This window comes from Homo sapiens, chromosome 17 (genome assembly GCF_000001405.40).
Source record: "Homo sapiens chromosome 17, GRCh38.p14 Primary Assembly".
In the NCBI taxonomy this organism is placed as follows: Eukaryota; Metazoa; Chordata; class Mammalia; order Primates; family Hominidae; genus Homo; species Homo sapiens.
The window spans coordinates 42080028-42100465 of record NC_000017.11 but is presented as its reverse complement, the minus strand read 5'-3'; the positions used below and the strand labels follow the sequence as shown (position 1 = coordinate 42100465).

The 20438-nt window shown below is 51.5% G+C and overlaps 1 protein-coding gene across 4 annotated transcripts in view; it reads left to right on the top strand.

Annotated features, from left to right (window-relative positions):
• The first annotated feature begins 1992 nt into the window (after positions 1 to 1992).
• Positions 1993 to 20438, top strand: part of ZNF385C (zinc finger protein 385C) — a 72898-nt gene continuing 54452 nt past the window's right edge. For all 4 annotated transcript variants that reach the window (NM_001378270.1, NM_001392014.1, NM_001392013.1 and 1 more), the window contains exon 1: positions 1993 to 2056. The gene's annotated coding sequence lies outside the window, so the exon portion shown is untranslated. The remainder of the gene's footprint in view (positions 2057 to 20438) is intronic.

Sequence of the window (20438 nt, the reverse complement as noted above, 5' to 3'; positions counted from 1 at the left end):
TAGTACAATCATGGCTCACTTCAGCCTCAACCTCCCAGGCTTAAGCAATCCCCCCACCTCAACCTCCCTGGTACCTGGGACTACAGATGTATACCACCACACCTAATTTTTGGGGGGTAGAGGGGCAGTGTACAGACAAGTTCTCACTATGTTGCCTAGGCTGATCTCCAACTACTGGGCTCAGGTGATCCTCCCAAAGTGCTGGGATCACAGGTATGAGCCACTGTGCCTGACCTAGTGTTAAAAGTTTTAGGCCAGGCGCATTTTCTCACGCTTGTAATCCCAGCACTTTGGGAGGCCGAGGTGGGCAGATCACCTGGGGTCAGGGGTTGGAGACAAGCCTGGCCATTTCGGTGAAACCCCATCTCTACTAAAAATTACAAAAATTAGCCTCACATAGTGGCAGGCCCCTGTAATTCCAGCTACTCAGGAGGCTGAGGCAGGAGACTCACTTGAACCTGGGAGACGGAGTTTGCAGTGAGCCGAGATCATGCCACTGCACTGCAGCCTGGACAACACAGTAAGACTCCATCTCAAAAATAAAAAAATAAAAGAAGTTTTAAACACTCCTCTTTAATAGCCCTCCTAAGCCTTATTCATAAAGGGTATCAACAGTCTAAACTTGAGGCCCATCAAGAGTGTGAGGGCTTCCTGCTCCCCCTACCCCATAATAGCTTCCAACCCCGATATTCCCCTCTCCACCTTCCCTTAACCCTCAGATCATCTCCCCTAGGCTGGGGAAAGGCTGAGATCCAGGGTTTGAGGGGTGGGCTCAGGTAGGCACGGGGGTGGGGAAAATTACAAAGGCCTAAATTTTCTGTTCTCATTTTAACAAGAAAGAAAAAGAAAGGCAAGATCTAGGTTGCTTCATCAGGGAAAGGGCTATTTCTGTAGTACAAGGCCCAGCAGGCAGGAGACACCTTCAAGAGGAAGGGAGGGGGCTAGGGCAGAGATTTGAGAGCAGGATGGCAGTCCTTCCTGCCGTCCAACCTCCTTCCCTCCTGCTACATTCTTGGTTCTGTCCCCAGGTAGATGAGAAATGCACCCTGTCTTCTCCCAGCATTTTCTTTTTTCTGTAGGCCTCTTGTCTGATTGAGGGCTGAAATTCCCGTTCCCGTCTTTTTGGCTACCATCTCCCATAGACAGTGTACTTCTCTTTCCCAAGGCCCCCCTCTTCCTCCTCTCAAAGTGTCCTTGGCCCTGGATCCAGGAGTCTCCTTCCTCCTCCCTCCTGTCCCATCTCCAGCTGCCTTCCCGGGGGGAGAGTTGCCCATCCGCTCCCCACTTTGCCTTCAGTTAGTATACTGCCTGCCAGCAACGTGCCTTTTACAGGTCAATAAAATTAGCGACTGGGGGCAGAGGGAGGGGGCAGGGGCTCAGGGGTGCTAAGCTCAAAGGCCTTGAATGTGGCTAGACTCACGGAGTCAGGACGCCTGTCATTCCAGGGCTAAACAGTGACAGCTGGGGGACCTGGGCTGGCGCTGGGGGCGGAGGAGGGGCTGTGTGGCAGGGAGGGAGATGGGCTGAGGATAAAGATGGTCTGGTTGCCTAATGGCCCCCTCAGCGGCCTAAACCCCTACACAGCTGAGCCCTGGAGAGGGCACCCTTACTTTAGAGGAGTGTCCCGTCTCACACCCAACCCTGCCAGGCCCGAAGAGCTCAGATGGAAGGGGACTCAGGCCAGGAGAGGTTTCTGAGCTTTCTTCTTCGTGTGAGGGGTCTTTATATGAAGTCACCCTCTCCAGGGCATCTGGGCGAGGCTGTCTGAAGCGGGGAATTCCCACCCACCCCCCGCACCCCCTGGAGTCCTAACTTCCCAGCCTTCAGAACTCGAGCTCCGGGCCCTCCCTGTGGCTCAGATGCTCTCCCGGGACTTCCCACCTGAATGAGCCCGCGCACCCCACCGGCGGGGCCTCGAGGGAGGGGCCGGCCCGGCTCCCCCTCCCAGCCCCGCCCCTGCCCCGCCGGGCCCCGCCCCTCCCAGCCAGCCCCACACGCAGCGTTCCCAGCCAGGCGAGAGCAGGTGGCCGCGGCGGGCTCCGTCTCTGCCCCGCAGGTAAGACGGCGACGCGGGCTAGTCCACGCCGAGGACCTCGAGGGCAGCGCGGGAGAACGAGGCAGCCTCTTCCACCTGTCCGGTCCTCTCGCCTCAAAATTGGGGGACCCCAAGGGACAGTGAGGATATCCCTATCTCGGCTCTGAGCGCCGACGTTGGGCATCTGCTGGGCGGGACTGAACTCTGGGGCAGTTAGAGGGTCCTGGCTGGTTATCCCTGATGCCAGGCGGGCTCCAAAGGATGGAAAAGAAAGAGCCGGGCATTAGACACGCAGCTTTCTGGAGTGGGGCAGGTTGGGGATGGTGAGGACGGGGGTCCGGAGTAAGGAACCTCGTTGACTGAGAGTGCGCCATGCCTCATCCAAGGGCAGCCTCTTCCCCACCCTAGGGGGTGATGGCTTGACCCAAACTGGGCTTCTGTTCCGTGGGCTAATGAGGTAAAAGCCGCCGCATAGCTGAGCTGGGGCCTGGGATTTTCTAATGAGCCCCAGGGCACCTGCATCATTTATTTACATCTGGGTACAAGGGGGTGAGCAGGGGATTACCCCGATGGCCTAGGGAACCCGGAAAGTCTGGGAACTCAGTAGATCTTTTCTGTGTCTGTGTCACAGAGCCGGCTGGGGAAGGTGATCGCAGATGTGGCCTTATTGCAGACAGGGGAGCATTTGCACCCTCAGTGTTGGGATTTGGGCTGTAGGAAAGGGGTCCTGCCTCCCAGGACCTCGAGGAAGCCTTCCTGGAGGAGGAGGACCTGGGCTGACAGCTTGAATGTGATGCTCAGAGCTCTGAGCCACTAAGGAGAGGCAGCCTTTGGGTCTTGGTGCTGGGTTGAAGTAGAGCAGAGGACCCTGGATTATAGAACAAAGGGAAGTCAGGACATTGCTGTCTGGGTCCAGCTGGGACCCCAGGGACCTTCCTGAGATCATCGCAAGCCTTTGGACAGACACGGGTGACAATGGGGGGAGGGGGGCTTCCTTGTCTGTCTAGATTCCCCATTCCATTGCCTCATTTCACCACACAAACCATCAGAGGCAGAAGTTCGTTCTCATATCCGACCTTCATCCCTTCTGGGTCTGTGCCAGCTTCTTGCTTCTGGGAGGCCATGTGCTCTAGTGGAAAGAGTGGGGGCTTTGGGGTCAGTTAGAGCTGAGTTCTGACACCTCTACCTACTGCGTGACCTTGAACAAGTTTCTTAACCTCTTTGAGTTCACTTAATCACCTGTAAAATGGGGATAATAATAGAACCCACCTCATAGAGTGGCTGCAAGGGTTAAATGAGGGTACACATGTAGAGCGCTTAGCACAGTGCCTGGAGCCTGGCGAGGGCTCAGAAAGTACCAGTGTCCCCTCATGTGTGGGACAGCAAAGCCGATCTGCAGGGAGTGAGAGCGAGCAGGGGAGGGGGGAGTGGAAGGGTTTTTTTTTTTTTTTTTTTAGCTAAGCTTGGCTAGAAAGAGTGCCCTTCACTGCATGCCCCCCTACCAGGGGGAACCTGCCCCCTGCTGGTTCCTGGATCTCTGGACCTCTCTGGGCTGCCCAGGGCCCCTCACCTCCTCCTCTTTTAGTCACCTTGTTTGTGTTGCCTTTTGTCTCTGTAGAGGGGAGAGAGTCCCCCCGCCCCCGCCCAAGGCAGGGACCAGTACCAGCAGGAGCTCACTTGGGCTGTGCCTCAGTGGAACAAGCTCTGGCTTGGAGACCCAACCTGAAAAAAATGCCCTCTTGTCATCACTGCTCTGCCCTCCCACCTCCAGGAGTTGGGATCAAGCCGCACTAAATTTTTCCAGGAAGATAAATAATACGAGTGACTGAAAGTCCTGTTTGGGGATTGTCCAAGCTGTCCTCCAGTGAAAGGACAGCTTCAGGCCCTGGCCTGATCTCTAGGCTGCCAGGGAAGGCTGAGTTCAGTAGCACCCTTAAACCTGGGCAAGGGAGGGAGTGCCCATGCCCTAAGCTGGGGGCTTTCAAAGGCTCCACTCTGGCCCTCCTGCTGCCAGTCCTCTCCCTGTGGGATGAGGCATCAGCAGGGCCGAGGGGATGAGACTGTGAGTCCCCTCCAAGACCACATTCTCCATACCTGTGACTCTGGAGGTCCCTGCCTAGATGGTCACCATCTGGCTCCCAGCCCATGCCAGCCTCTTCCCTGGGCCTGTCTGCCTCAGGACAGGTTATGCCAATAGTGTGTGCACCCCTACGGACAGTGAAGGGACAGCTATTTGCAGGGGCTGTGGATGGAGCAAGGACATGAGGCTGGGTGTCCTTATACATGCACAAGAGTCCCTTGTGGTGCAGACAGGACCCGGCAGCAGGAAGGGGGGTGGCCAGGGTGCGAGTGGAGCTGTCTCCTCTGCACAGAGTCATTCTGATGTGTAAAGCTCAGGAGGCAGATAAATCCAAATTTGTATCTGGTCCTCCAGGTTGTTAATGAAGGTGTATTTGTCAGGGTGAGAGGTTAGAACATATTTCACAGTTTGCTGGCTTGATTTATAACTTTTAAATATTTAGACATATGTCTGTGGGCCGCCATTTGTCCCCTTGCCCCAGGCCCTGTGAGTGTTCCAGGTGGGCCTGGCTGGGCCTGTGACTTCAGCTGCCATTTGGTTAATTCCTTCCCCACTCTCCCTGTCCCCCAGTAGAGTAGCACCCCTATAAAACTGGGCTTAGAACATGCTTACCTGGACCAGGACGGAGTTTCAAGGTGAAATGAAGATTGTCAGTTGTCATCAACAAGCAGTTCCCCTGTGGGCCTCCTGACCTCATTATCCACCACAAAACTGGGACAATTTTTTTTTTAATGTCCTGTGATGCTTGAGAGGGAAGGGCTGGGGAGGAGAGGTTACTTCTCTCCTGTGTGTGGTGAGGGTGTGGGTCACTGGACCCCAGGAGCAAGGAGAGAGCTAAATGGGGCCGCAGCAGCAGGAGGGATGGAAGCTAGCCTGGGGGAAAGCCAGGGTTGGACCCCACCATCCCTCTGGCTGCCCTTCTCAGAGGGAGCTGCGCCTGCCACCCGGGAGGGCCCATGTGTCTATCATGTGGGTTCTCCCATGAGTTTGGAGTTTGGGCTTGGGACAGGGGAGACTGTGGGGTCAGCTGGCCAGGCGGCGGGGGTCATCCCCAGCGGGAATGAATGGTACGCTGGTGTTGACTGTAGTCAAGTGCCCTGTGGCACCTGGACACACCGTCTGTTCAGAAGAGGCATGAAACCTTTATTGTGGCTGTCTCTGCTCACTCATTGTTTCTGATTGGGCTATTTGAGGAACAGCCTGCCACGTTGGCCTCATTAGCATCGTGAGGCTCTTAATGGAACTGGATCCACACACGTGTACAGACACTCACAAACTCACTCAGGTACGCATGCCCGCCTGCACTAACCCCCAGAGGTCTGTGTATAGGGTTGTGCGCTCCTAAACCCCACCCCAGGTCAGACCCACCCTGACACACATGGCTTGTGACACCCATACCTTCACCCCAGTCACACTCTCACTGTCCCTTATTGGTGACTTTTCATTCACCTTGGGTGACCCACTGGCTCCAGTGGCCAAGGGCTGGCTTACTAGAGGGTGGCTGGGGGCCAGATGCCGGCAGCGGTTGGTTAAGCTTTTGGGACAGGAGGCAGCAGCATTGCCCTGGTGAGGCCACCCCCAGTGGGGCTCGACCCCCAAGCACTTTGGCTCCCCCCACGTCTCCCAGGAGAGTGTCTCTGGGTCCTGAGGCTGTCTGTCCTTGTGTAGTTCTCGTGAGCCTCTTTCTGCTTCGGCCTGTGAGTGTGTCTGGCCCTGCGCCTCCTGTGTGCTCCCCATCTGTGTCCTTTCCCCTCTCCTGACCCTGTCCTTTGTTATCTCTGTCTCTCCTCTCCACCCGTCTAGCTCTTTTTTCTGTGAGTCTTTCTATGTCTTTTCTTCTTCCTTTTTCTCTGCCTCCTCTGTCTACCCCTTCTCTCTCTGTCCCTCTCTCTCACACTCCCACTCTCAGTGTCTGACTGCGTGGCTATCTCTCTGGGTGGGTCTTTCTGTATCTTCACCTCTCTCTATATCTGCCTGTCAGTCTGGACATGTATCCCTCTGACTCTCTGCCTTAGTCTCTTGAGGAGTCTCGGCAAAAGGAGAGCCAAGAGTCCTGAAAGAAGGTGACAGCCAGGCACGGTGGCTCACGCCTGTAATACTAGCACTTTGGGAGGCTGAGGCGGGTGGATCACCTGAGGTCAGAAGTTCGAAACCAGCCTGGCCAACATGGTGAACCCCCGTCTCTACTAAAAATACAAAATTAGCTGGGCGCGGTGGCGCATGCCTGTAATCTCAGCTACTTGGGAGATTGAGGTGGGAGAATCGTTTGTACCTGGGAGGCAGAGGTTGCAGAAAGCCAAGATTGCGCCATTGCACTCCAGCCTGGGCAACAAATGTGAAACTCCATCTCAAAAAAAAAAAAAAAAGGTGATAATGCCTCCCAGGGGGCCACGATCACTTCTGGGCTCCTCCACTGCCAGGCAAGGCGGCAGGAAAGGGAATATCACGTCCTAGGGAGAGTGGATGGGCCGAGTGCAGTGGCTCACACCTGTAATCCCAGCACTTTGGGAGGCCAAGGTGGGTGGATTGCTTGAGGTCAAGGAGTTAGAGATCAGCCTGGCCAACATGGTGAAACCTCGTCTCTGCTAAAAAAGTACAAAAAATTAGCCGGGCTTGGTGATGGGTACCTTTAATCCCAGGTACTCGGGAGACTGAAGCAGGAGATTTGCCTGAGCCTGGGAGGTACAGGTTGCAGTGAGCCAACATCGTGCCACTGCACTCCAGCCTGGACGACAGAGTGAGACCCTCTCTCAAAAAAAAAAAAATAAATAAAATAAAATAAAAAGTAAAAAAAATAAAGAGCTGATGGCTCATCTCCTCTAACTCCTCTGTTGAGAACTCCGGGGTTTCGGCTCTGAACTCTGAAACTTTCTTCAGTGATGAGGCCCAGGGTCATAGGCCTGGGAGCAGGGCTGGGGGTCCAGAGTCATCACTCTGGGAGATAAGGGATAGAGCCCCTTGTCTGTCTGGTTGACCTGATTGACCTTGAACTGAGGGAAGGGTGTTGGGACTTGGAGTCTCCCTCAGAAGAGGCGTTGACCAGAGTGGGGCTGAATTGACACTTTTCTTTCTCCTGGAAGCAGTCAAGCTCAGCCCACCCACCCCGGGCCCCAGCTTCCTGCTCCAAACCACAGCTGTGCTCCCCACCCTGTTCCAAATATTTCTGCCAACTGCCCCAGGCCGAGGGGCCTGTTTAAACAGCCTCCCTGCCCTCTCCTGGCCTCCCCACCTCTGTGGCCTCCCCATCGCTCCCACGGCTTCTTGCACAGGAGCGGCTGTGTTGGCTGTTTGTTTATTGGATTAAGATTTCCTTGGGTGGGGCAAGGACTGACTCCACAGGTCCTTCTTCTCACTTTAGATGCCCAGGCTAGAGGCCAGACCCAGCTTTGGCCTTGCCCCCTGCCCTGTCCAGCCTTCCCCGGACCCCCGCCCCCCGCTCCCAGATGTCTCTCCTACATCCCAAGCCCCAGACTTCTCTACCCTTCTGATCTCAGCTCTGTTCAGTCCCGCATCTGATGCCAGCTGACCCCCTCCCCAGCCCCAAAGTTGAGTGCTCTGGCCCTGGAGGGCAGGATGGGGATGGGACACTCCCCCACTCCCTGCTGAGAGGAGAGGAAATGCCAGGAAAAGGCACTGGGAACAGGAACCCTTGGGTTTTCTAGGGGTTCCTAAAGAGGGACACATGGGGTGTGGTCTTTGGAATGTGGGAGAAGCCTGCCCACTCTCCCTGTTGGCAGAGGCTTGAGCCAGTCCTCCAGTGAGACTTTAGCAGAGGAATAATTCTCTGATGGGCTCGGGGCCCCTGTAAGAATCCATCTCCAGAACAATCTCCCTAGGACCCCAAAGGGCCTCCTATCCCCTGATTTTGTACAGAACTTTGCAGTATACAGAACTGCCTCATCCCATCCTATGAGCACCTGCAGAGATCAAAATTCTTTTTTTTTTTTGACACGAATCTCGCTTGCTCTGTTGCCCAAGCTGGAGTGCAGTGGTGCAGTCTCAGCTCACTGCAACCTCCCCCTCCCAGGTTCACAAGATTCTCGTGCCTCAGCCTCCTGAGTAGCTGGGATTACAGGCACATGCCACCATGCCCAGCTAATTTTTTGTATTTTTAGTAGAGACAGGGTTTTGCCATGTTGTCCTGGCTGGTCTCGAACTCCTGAGCTCAGGTGATCCACCCACCTCGGCCTCCCAAAGTGCTAAGATTACCGTCATGAACCTCTGGGCCTGGCTAAGATCAAAGTTCTTTTTGTAGATGATGAAAGCTCAGAGAGCAAAGGAACTTTCGCAGAATCAATCTTCTAGCAGAACCTGGACTGGAACCTGGGTCTCCTCACCCCTCACAGCCAGGGCTCCTTGCCAGACCATGCTGGAGCTGCTCCTTTGATTAAAAGAGTCACAGGCTGCAGTCACCCCTGGCTCTTCCTGAATCTCCCCCTCACCCAAAGCTCCTCTACCTTCACACACCAAGACTCCTGGTCCCTGAGTCTCTGGCTGGGAGGTGAATATAGGGGCAGGTAGCATTCTTGTGACCTTATTCTGAAATTTGCTGTCCTAGTTAGCAGCTTCCTGAGGGGAGAGGGACACAAGAAGCTTTTAGAGATGGTTTCAACCCTCTGGGTGCTAATTGGGAATGAGACTCTCCCTAGGTTGAGACTGGGGACAGCTATTCTGGGTCTGCAAGATGAGGTGTGGGGGTGGAGAGGCCAGAGGGGGGATCAGGAAGTTTCCCCAAATAGCCTGGCCTGAAGCCACACGTGGGAGCCAAGCCCCAAGAAGGTGGCCTAGATGAAGGGGTGGAGGGGGAGCTGTCCATTTGGCACATGGGCCTGACCCTTGGGAAGCTGGGCATAGGGCAAAAATCAGGAGCAGGACTGGTTTTGTATCCTCTTTTCTTTTTTGTTTGAGATGAAGTCTCGCTCTGCCACCCAGGCTGGAGTACAGTGGTGCGATAACAGCTCACCGCAGCCTCCGCCTCCCAGGCCCAAGCAATCCTCCCACCCCAGCCCTCAGTCCAGAGCCTCACGAATAGCTGGGACTACAGGCACACACCTGGATAATTTTGTTACATTTTCTGTAGAGACAGGGGTCTCCCTCTGTTGCCCAGATTGGTTTCAAACTCCTGGGCTCAAGCGATCCTCCTGCCTCAGCCTCCCAAAGTGCTAGGATTACAGGCTCATGCCTGTAATGCCACCATGCGCAGCCAGTCTTCTCTTTGTTCTCCCACTGAAATGGGCTTCCTTGGAACTTGATGTCATAAGTGGGTGTGTCTCTACCCTGTCCCAGCCCCTACCCCCAAGCCCCAGCCTACTGTCCTAGCTCTCATCCCAGTGACACTGATTTACTCATTCATTTAACCAATATTTATGGAGCACCTACTATGTGTTATACTTGCTAGCCTCTGCCCTGGGAATTCAGGAGGAACAAGACAGGGTTCCAAGAGGGAACAAGATAGGTTCTCTTTTTTTTGAGACGGAGTCTCGCTCTGTCGCCCAGGCTGGAGTGCAGTGGCAGGATCTCGGCTCACTGCAAGCTCCGCCTTCCGGGTTCACGCCATTCTCCTGCCTCAGCCTCCCGAGTAGCTGGGACTACAGGTGCCCACCACTGTGCCCAGCTAATTTTTTGTATTTTTAGTAGAGATGGGGTTTCACCATGGTCTCGATCTCCTGACCTCGTGATCCGCCCGCCTCTGCTTCCCAAAGTGCTGGGATTACAGGCGTGAGCCACCGTGCCCAGCCTAAGATAGGTTCTCAAGAGGGAATAAGAGGCTGGGTGTGGTGGCTCACGTCTGTAATCCCAGCACTTTGGGAGACCAAGGTGGGTGGATCACTTGGGGTCAGGAGTTCGAGACCAGCCTGGCCAACATGGTGAAAACCCATCACTAATTAAAAATACAAAAATTAGTGCGTGATGGCGCAAGCCTGTAATCCCAGCTACTCGGGAGGCTGAAGCAGGAGAATCGCTTGAACCTGGGAGGTGGAGGTTGCAGTGAGCCGAGATCGCGCAATTGCACTCCAGCCTGGGCGACAGAACGAGACTCCATCTCAAAAAAAAAAAAAAAAAAAAAAAAAAAGGGAATAAGAGGAAATGGGAAGGAAGGAAAACTACCCTAGAGAGAGCAATGCAGGAAGGCGTCTTTCAGAGGTGATAGTTAAATATCAGCCATGAGAAGGAGGAGGGAGGGGTCAGAAGGAAAAGAGCACTCAAGGCAGAGAGAACAGGCTTTGAGAAAGCTCCCAAGTGAGGGGAAACTCGCTGTGCTCCAGGGACAGAAAGAGCCCAGTGTGGCTGGAAGGTGGGGAGTTATAGGAAACAGATCAGAGGGACACAGGATATTTTAACCACTACGGATATTTTGACCCGAAGGATGTTTTGAATGCAAACATTTTAAACCAAAACATACTAACCCTGAAAATGTTTTAAGAAGGTGTTCTCCAGCTTGAACTCTATTCATCCAACTTAATTCTTTGATCAGATTTTTGTTTTTCCCCTGTAGTACAGTTAAACAAATGTCCATGTTTTTCATTCTTTTGTAATTTTACTGAAACTGTTTTCATCGGCATCGATTCCGTACACATTCTGCTGCTGAGATTGGAGGCATCCATCAGTGTGGGGGCTGCAGGCTCTTGACACGAGTTTCTGCCATTGTGTGATTGACTGGGTAACCCCATTCCATTTTGGAAGATTTAAATTAAAACCAAAAAAAAAGATTCGTGGTCAAGATTTGATTCTTTTGTGCATTTTAGTCAATAATGAGTTTTCTTATATCCATTTCTAGCCATCCTCAGTGTTACTTCTACCCGTAATATTTTTAGGTGGAGAGTTGTATTTATATCTCAGTTGATCTGTGGGAGGAATCAGGTGGAAGGGGTGGACTGGGAGAGAAGGGCTTGGGGGAGGGGAAAGGCCCGGATCTTCCAGGCTGGGGCAAGCATTCTCCTAAAGCAAAGGGTGAAGCCTTTAGAGCTTTTATCCCAGAGCATGACTTGATCAGATTTGCCTTTATTTTTATTTATTTATTTATTTATTTATTTAGAGACAGGGTCTTATTCTGTCCCCTAGGCTGGAGTGTGGTGGTGTGATCACGGCTCACTGCAGCCTCGACCTCCCAGGTTCAAGCTATCCTCCCACCTCAGCCTCCTGAGTAGCTGGGACTATAGGTGTGCACCACCACACCCAGCTAATTTTTGTATTTTTTGTAGAGATGGAGTTGCCCAGGCTGGAGAGTTGCCCTTTTAATAGTCTCCCTCTGGCTGTGTGAAGATGGGACTGGGAGGGAGAGGAAGTGGGGAAGTAGAGGCAGGGAGACCAGTGAGGTGGCTGTTCTGCCAATCCAGGTGGTAAAGAGAAGTGAACCGGGCCAGGCATGGTGATGCGTGTGCCTGTAGTCCCAGTGTGTTGAGAGGCCAAGGCGGGAGGATCGCTTGAGGCCAGGAGGTCGAGGGTGCAGTGAGCTGTGATCGCACCACTGCACTCCAGCCTGGGTGACGGGTTACAGATAGAGTATGGGGTAAAAAAGGGCAGGGTAATCTCTGTCCCACTCCCCAGGATCCCACCGCAGCCCTCCTGCAACATGCAGAATGCCCTTGCTGCCATTCCCACACCCTTAGCTCCCTGCTTCTGGTATTTGAGGCAGCTTGGAGCTCTTCCCCCCAACACCCAGGCTCTGGCCACTTGGAGTTTGTACAGAGTCGAGACCAAGAACTGGGGCGTTTCCCTTGGAGGTTTCTCCTTCTTTGCACTGAGGGAGAGTCAGGGATGCCCTGCTGAGGTTGGGGTGGGGGATGGAAGGGATGGGAATGGCCCTGGGATCCACCTACCTCGAGTCCCGTGGCTGGAGCCGCCCAGGCGGCCGCAGACCTGGCGGTGAAACAGACCCAGACACAGGGCGCTTGTCCGGCGGTGCTCCGCCCTCTGGGTGTGACACTGGGCAGGGAGACAAAGGGGCCTCTGTCAGTGTGGGGCACTGCGCCCACCCGGGCCAGGCCAGGCGCCTGAGGAGGGAGGGAGGTGACCTGGGGGTGCTGGAAGAGAGAAGGTTGAAGGGAGACAGACCTCAGGTTTGAGTGCCATCTGAGGGCAAGTCTCTTCCTCTCCGGGTCCTCAGTCTCCTCATCTGTAAAGTGGAAATCTCAGTCCCAACCTCCCAGACCCAGCATCAGCAGGATGGACCTTGTTGATTGACTACACTTGTGTTATTTAGCAAACATATGTAATGATTACCACATGCCTGGTTGCTAAACACTTTGCAAATATTGACTCAGGTAATCCTCATAACGACCCTCTAAGAGTGTCGATTAAAAAAAAAATTAACCATTTAAAGAATTAAAGTTAGTTTTATTTAGAAGTCTTACGGAGGACTATAGAGCATGGCCTACAGCCCTAAAACAGTTTTGTCAGACTGTTTTAAATCAGTGTTTTAGCTTATAGTTTATATATAGGTAGTGGGGGTTCAGTATGTGCAAAAGGACATCAAAATTTGGCTGTAACAGTATATTGGTTATAGATTACGGAGGTATAATCACTAACTCTGTCAGACATTATTGTATGTGCAACAAAAGGCAAGGACTATGGTTATTTTATTTTTATGGAGACAGGGGTCTTGCTATGTTCCCCTGGTTGGTCTTAAGCTCCTGGCCTCAAGTGAACCTCCTGTCTCGGATTCCCAAAGTGCTGAGATTTATAGACGTGAGACACTGCGCCTGGCTAGGACTGGGGCCATTGATCTTTTAAGGAATATAGTGATTCAAGCAAGAGATGTGGGGCTGTGGGAGGTGCTGTGTTTTATCTTGTTTTGTCTTTAAAACTCTTTTCAGAGAGCTGCAGATAAGCACAGAGTCAGGGACTTTGTGAAATTATCCTGGTAAGCAGAAATGAGCAAATGGCTTCTGATGTTTGCTACTTTGTGTCACAAGTTTTTTCTTTTGGTCATAAATCAGCTGCCTGGTTGTATTTAAAAGCCAAATGCTGATTGTGTCAGGTAACTAGGAAGCCTCTTTTTTCAGGATGATTGATTGTTTTCAGTTGTAGTTTTAAGCAATGAGCACTAGTCCCAGCGTGCATATATGCCTACTTATTGGAAAACACAGTTTGAATTGCATTTATTTTTTAATTAGCATGATCTAGGTTTTCATCAACATTGTCTTTTTTTGTACTTAACCCTTTAATAGGGCTATTACAAGGATATTATAGATCATACATAGCAGTATATGCTTAATAGTATTAAGGCTTAAGTATACAGGCCTCACGCCTGTAATCCCAGCACCTTGGGAGGCTGAGGTGGGCGGATCACCTGAGGTCGGGAGTTCAAGACCAGCCTGACCAATATGGAGAAATCCTCGTCTCTACTAAAAGTACAAAAAATTAGCCGGGCGTGGTGGTGTAATCCCAGCTACTTGGGAGGCTGAGGCAGGAGAATTGCTTGAACCTGGGAGGTGGAGGTTGCAGTGAGCCAAGATCACGCCACTGCACTCCAGCCTGGGCAACAAGAGCAAAACTCTATCTAAAAAAAAAAAAAAAAAAGTATTAAACTGAGTTACATATGGGAAAAAACATAACTAATAAAACAAACTTACATTTGTGTTTTTAAATTAATTTTACTTTTTTCTTTCTGTATTTATATTTATTGGATTTTTTTTTTTTTTTTTTTGAGATGGAATCTCACTCTGTTGCCCAGGCTGGAGTGCAATGCTGGGGTCTTGGCTCACTGCAGCCTCTGCCTCCTGGGTTCAAGCTATTCTCCTGCCTCAGCCTCCCAAGTAGCTGGAATGACAGGCGCACGCCACCATGGCTGGCTAATTTTTGTATTTTTAGTAGAGACAGGGTTTCTCCATGTTGGCCAGGCTGGTCTCGAACTCCTGACCTCAGGTGATCCGCCTGCCTTGGCCTCCCAAAGTGCTAGGATTACAGGCGTGAGCCACTGCGCCTGGTCTTAGAGTTGGTTTTTAAAATTTATTTATTTATTTATTTAAGACAAAGTCTCACTCTGTTGCCCAGGCCGAAGCGATCTCAGCTCACTGCAACCTCTGCCTGCCTGGTTGAAGCGATTCTTGTGCCTCGGCCTCCCGAGTAGCTAGGCTTACAGGGGTGTGCCACCACATCCAGCTAATTTTTGTGTTTTAAGTAGAGACGGGGTTTCACCATGTTGCGCAGGCTGGTCTCTAACCCCTGACCTCAGGTGATCTGCCCACCTTGGCCTCCCCAAGTGCTGGGATTACAGGCGTGAGCCACTGCACCCAGCCGGTTTTTTAAATTTAAATTTAAATGTATTGTTATTATTTTTCGAGACAAGATCTTGCTCTGCTGCCCAGGCTGGAGTGCAATGGCACAATCATGGCTCACTGCAGCCTCAACCTCCCTGGCTCAAGCAATCCTCCCACCTCAACTTCTCAAGTGACCAGGACCACATGCGTGTGCCACCATGCCTGGCTAATTTTTAAAAAATGTTTTGCAGAGGCCGGGCGTGGTGGCTCACGCCTGTAATCTCAGCACTTTGGGAGGCCGAGGTGGGTGGATCACGAGGTCAGGAGTTCAAGACCAGCCTGGCCAAGATGGTGAAAACCCATCTCTACTAAAAACACAAAAAATTAGCCAGGCGCAGAGACAGACGCCTGTAATCCCAGCTACTGGGGAGTCTAAGGCGGGAGAATCGCTTGAACTCAGAGGGCAGAGGTTGCAGTGAGCCGAGATCGCGCCACTGCACTCCAGCCTGGGCGACAAAGTGAGACTCTGTCTCAAAAAAAAAAAAAAAAAAATGTTTTGCAGAGGCCCAGCTTGGCGGCTCACACCTGTAATCCTAGCACTTTGGGAGGCTGAGGCGGGCAGATTGCCTGAACTCAGGCATTTGAGACCAACCTGGGCAACATGGCGAAACCCTGTCTCTACTAAAAATACAAAAAAAAAAAAAAGAAAAAAATTAGCCGGACGTGGTGGCGCACACTTGTAGTCCCAGCTGCTCAGGAGGCTGAGCCACAAGATTTGCTTGAACCTGCGAGGTGGAGGTTGCAGTGAGCCGACATTGTGCACTCCAGCCTGGGCAACAGAGTGAGACTCTGTCTCAAATTAAAAACAAAAAAAAATGTTTTGCAGACAGGGTCTCCATATGTTGCCCAGGCTGATCTTGAACTCCTGGACTCAAGCAATCCTTCTGCCTTGGCTTCCCAAAGTGCTGGGATTACAGGTGCACGCCACCACGCCTGGCTAATTTTTGTATTTTTAGTAGAGACGGGGTTTCACCATGTTGGTCAGGCTGGTCTCGAACTCCTGGCCTCAGGTGATCTGCCTGTCTTGGCTTCCTAAAGTGCTGGGATTACAGGCATGAGCCACCGCACCCAGCCCAGATCTTTATACATTTTAAGTAGTCTTTAGATTGTTTATATAAATAACATATCTGTATAAAATATGGAAAATATTGAACATAATTAAAATTATGACTGGCCAGCCATGGTGGCTCACACCTGTAATCCCAGCACTCTGGGAGGCTGAGGTGGGAGGATGGCTTGAGCTCAGGTGTTCAAGATCAGCCTAGGAAACATAGCAAGACCCCATCTCTAAAAAAAAAATTTTTTTTTAAATTAGCTGGGCATGGTGGTGTATGCCTGTAGTCAAAGCTACTTGGGAGGTTGAGGCAGGAGGATTGTTTCAGCCCAGGAGGTGGAGGCTGCAGTGAGCCGTGATCATACCACTGTACTCTAGCCTGGGCAACAGAGTGAGACCCTGTCTCCAAGAAAAAATAAAATAAAATTATCATTGATAATATATTAGATTTTTATGAACTAATATAATTGTGAAACGTTTATATTAATAACACTCATAAATGTAACTGAAAGAAGATCTATTATTATTTATTATTTGACGATGTCTTTTATATGTCTATTTAGTTTAAAAAGGCTTAATTTAGGATTTTGATCTTGGAGAAACCTGCCAAAGATGTAAAAATGTTTAAAACACTTCATCAAAACAGAATCATAGGTCATTCTAAAATAATAGTTTTTTGTTTGTTTTTGGTTTTGGGTTTTTTTTTTTTTTGAGACAAGCTCTGTCGCCCAGGCTAGAGTGTAGTGGTGTGATAATAGCTCACTGCAGCCTGGAACTTCTGGGCTCAAGCAATCTGCCCTCATAGGTTGGACTACAGGCATCTGCCACCATGCCTAGCTATTTTTTTTTTTTTCAGATATGAGGTCTTGATATGTTCAGCACAGACTAGTCTGGGACTCCTGGCCCCAAGCAAACCTCCCATCTCAGCCTCCTAAAATGGTGGGATTATAGGTGTGAGCCACTGCATTCACCCAAATAATATTTATTTAACCAGAGTGATAAACGGCTTTAAAAGTGGCTGGGTATGGTGGCTCACGCCTGCCATCCTGGCACTTTGGGAGGCCGAGGCAGGTTGTTCACCTGAGGTCAGGAGTTCAAGAACAGCCTGGTCAACATGGCAAAATGCCATCTCTACTAAAAATATAAAAATTAGCCTGGTGTATTGGTGGACGCCTGTAATCCCAGCTACTTGGGAGGCTGAGGCAGGAGAATCGCTTGAACCTGGGAGGCAGAGGTTGCAGTGATCTGAGATCGCACCATTGCACTCCAGCCTGGGCGACAGAGTGAGACTCTGTCTCAAAAAAAAAAAAAAAAAAAAAAAAAAAAAGACTTGAAAAGCAATACAGAAAGTTACATGGATGTAAAAACTTTAATTCTTTTAAAGTTTAGTTTTTTTTAAGTAATCAAAAACTTAATAAAGACAACACAGGATTTTCTTGGTAAAATGTAAAATCTTTGTTTTTTGGGCCAGTTACCAGAAAACAAAGACCTCCTGTAGTGTGATTGGTTTTTTAAAACATTTTGTTATGGCCAGGCGCGGTGGCTCATGCCTGTAATCCCAACACTTTCGGAGGCCGAGGTGGGTGGATCATGAGGTTAGGAGATCGAGACCATCCTGGCTAACTAACATGGTGAAACCCCGTCTCTACCAAAACTACAAAAAATTAGCGGGGGCGTGTTGGCGGGTGCCTGTAGTCCCAGCTACTCTGGAGGCTGAGGCAGGAGAATGGCATGAACCCGGGGGGCAGAGCTTGCAGTGAGCTGGGATCACGCCACTGCACTCCAGCCAGGGTGACAGCAAGAGACTCCATCTCAAAAAAAAAAAACAAAAAAACATTTTGTCACGAGTCAGGAGCTTTGTGAAATTATGCTGGCAAGCAAAAATGAACAGACATGGTTTCTTACATTTGCCACTTTGTCTCTCAAGAGGTACTGTTTTTTGTTGTTTTGGTTTTTTTGAGAAGGAGTTTCATTCTATTGCCCATGCTGGAGTGCAGTGACGCAATCTTGGCTCACTGCAACCTCCACCTCCCGGGTTCATGCCATTCTCCTGCCTCAGCCTCCAGAGTAGCTGGGATTACAGGCGTGCACCACCATCCTGGCTAAATTTTGTATTTTTAGTAGAGACGGGTCTTCACCATGTTGAACAGGCTGGTCTCAAACTCTTGACCTCAGGTGATCCACCAGCCTTGGCCTCCCAAAGTGCTGGGATTACAGGTGTAAGCCACCGCGCCTGGCCTTGCCTGGCTAATTTTTGTATTTTTTGTAAAGACAGGGTCTCATTATGTTGCCCAGGCTGGTCTCAAACTCCTAGACTCAACCAATCCTCCTACCTCAGCCTCCTGAAGTGCTGGGATTACAGGCATGAACAGCCACACTGGCTGATACCTGGTTCTTTAGAGGGGATGGAAAGGGCGTCCTGGAGCACCTTTGCCTGGGGAAACATAATTGTACACTGTCTGCCATCCCAGGGCTGGCTCTTAGGGCAAGGCCAAGAGTGCAGTGGGTGGGAGAGAAGCCAGATGCCACAAGAGGAATCCTGGGACCAGAGACTCAGGTGAGGGGGTGGAGTAGGGATCTAGAGGAGCCAGTCACCACACTGCCACCTTTGGCCTAGTTGTGGGAGCAGGGGAGGCTGGAAGAGATTTGGTATTCCTTCAACAGAAGGTTGGTATTCCATCAGAATCTCTGGGAAGAGGTCGGGCGTGGTGGCTCACGCCTGTAATCCCAGCACTTTGGAAGGCTGAGGCGAGCGGATCACTGAGGTCACGAGTCATACCCTGTGAGGTGCTGGGCTTGGTGCCATGTGCCATGGATGAGTTGGCCTTACCTCTAGGAGCCCAGGATTCAGCCAGACATGAAGCACGCCATGGAACAGGATGGCATAGGGGCTTCAGCCAAGGGGCTGAGGTGGTGGGAAGCTTCAGGCTTCATGGTAAGCCTAGGAGCAGCAGCAGGACTTGCCTGGAGAAAGGCGGGGGACTTGCTAGGCTGGGGGCAAGGCAGTGGGACAGTGCTCATGGGAGCAGCAGGTGGTCCCATGCAGTGTGGCCAGGCTCAGTGTGAGGAAGACTCTGAGAGCCAGTCTCTGGAGCTCGCCCTTGCTCTCCTAGAAACTCTTCAGAATCTGGGCACCTGTTGATGCTGGGCCTCACCCCAGGCTCCTGAATCTGAACCCCTGGGGGTGGAGCCCAGCCTAGGATGCCGGACAAGCTCCTCAGGTGGTGCTCCTGTAGCCAGGTACTTGGGAAGCCTGCTGGGCATGAGGCTTTCACTGTTGGCTGCATGTCAATCACCTGGGCAGAATTTTACAGTCTCAGGCTGCACCCAGACCAAGCCTATCAGAATCTCTGGGTAGAGGTTGGGCGTGGTGGCTCATGCCTGTAATCCCAGCACTTTGGAAGGCTGAGGCGAGCAGGTCACTGAGGTCAGGAGTTCGAGACCAGCCTGGTCAACGTGGTGAAACCCCGACTCTACTTTAAAAATATAAAAATTAACTGGGCGTGGTGGCAGGCACCTGTAATCCCAGCTGAGGCAGGAGAATGACTTGAACCCAGGAGGTGAAGGTTTCAGTGAGCAGAGATTGCACCACTGGATTCCAGCCTGGGTGACAGAGTCAGACTCTGTCTCAAAAAAATAAAATCCCTGGGGCGGAGCTTGGACATCAGAATTTTCCAAGGCTGCTCAGGTGATTCCCGTGAGTGGTTGTGGCCAAAAACCCTCAGGCAGGCCTATCCCTCAGGTCAGCCAGGTCTGACAGAGCCCCTCCAGAGGGGCCCCTCCTGAGTGCTGGTCTTCTGCAAGCCCTCGTCCATCCTGATTCATGTGTTTATCTGCTTATTGTCTGCGCCCATCCTTCTTCCCCTAACCCAGATTTGCAAGTTCCATGAGGGCCCTTTGGACTTCCGTTCACTGCTAGATCCCAAGGTATAGAGTGGACAGGCTGGCATATAGTAGGTGTTCAATAAGTGTTTATTGAGTGAATTTATCGACCCCCTACTCTGTGCCAGGCACAAAGGGAGACGCTATCCCTATATCACCTCTTGGTTCTCCCAACAACCCCATGAGGTATATACTACTGAGTCCATTTTATAGATCAGAGAGGTAAGGACTTTGCCCAAGGTCTGATGGCTCCTGGAGCTCATGCTCTGTCCTTCACCCTCCCCTGCCTTCCAGCCAAGGCCTCTGAGTGGCCCTGCTGTGGGAAGCTGCTTGGAAGCTGCACCAGTGGGCCTGGGGGGCACAGGACATGTTGACACAGCCTGTCCTCAGGGCGTTTCTTGGAACCTCTCAGCTGGTTTTGAAAGGACTCCTTCTTCATGGCCTGCAACGGCTTTGTGCCTCCTCCCACCGGACCGATTTGAGAGGAGGACTTTGATGTGGTCAGCAGCTGCTCCCTGGCCAGCAAGGTGGACCATGGATACCCCACCATCTCCCTCAGCCAATGGACTTGGAGGTTCTCCCTTCCCCACCCCAGGTGACCCTGGAATCTTGGTGTCATCCTCAATCTGCCTCCATCCTTGTGAGGTTAGGATGGGTTAGGATTAGTTTCTCATATTGAGGAGGAGGACAGGACCCCAAGGCCTGAATCAGTGGGCTGGGATGGGAGGATCCTGCTGGACAAACTAAATAAAAGCTTCAGGAAATGAAGGGAGGGTCAGGGAGACTTACAGATCTTAATTTCCACAGGGTTGAACCTGGCTGGTAGTCAGGGCCTTTCCTTCCCAACACCTTCTGAATGCAGCTCTTTAAGTAAGAGGAAAGGTGGCCAAGGTCCCCGTGAGGACCCCTGGATCCTCAGGCTTTCCCTTCCCTTCCATGGGGCAGTATAAGGCTGTCCTCTCAGGAAGCTGACTGCCTTCTAGAATGCTGCAATTGCAGCTAATATTCTGGAGAGACGGCCACCCCACTGTTGGACACCCCAATTTCCAGCCTCCTTTCTTCCAGCTCTGGCCTCTCCTACACACCCCAGGTAGCTCTGCCAAGCTGGATGAAGAGGTTGAAATA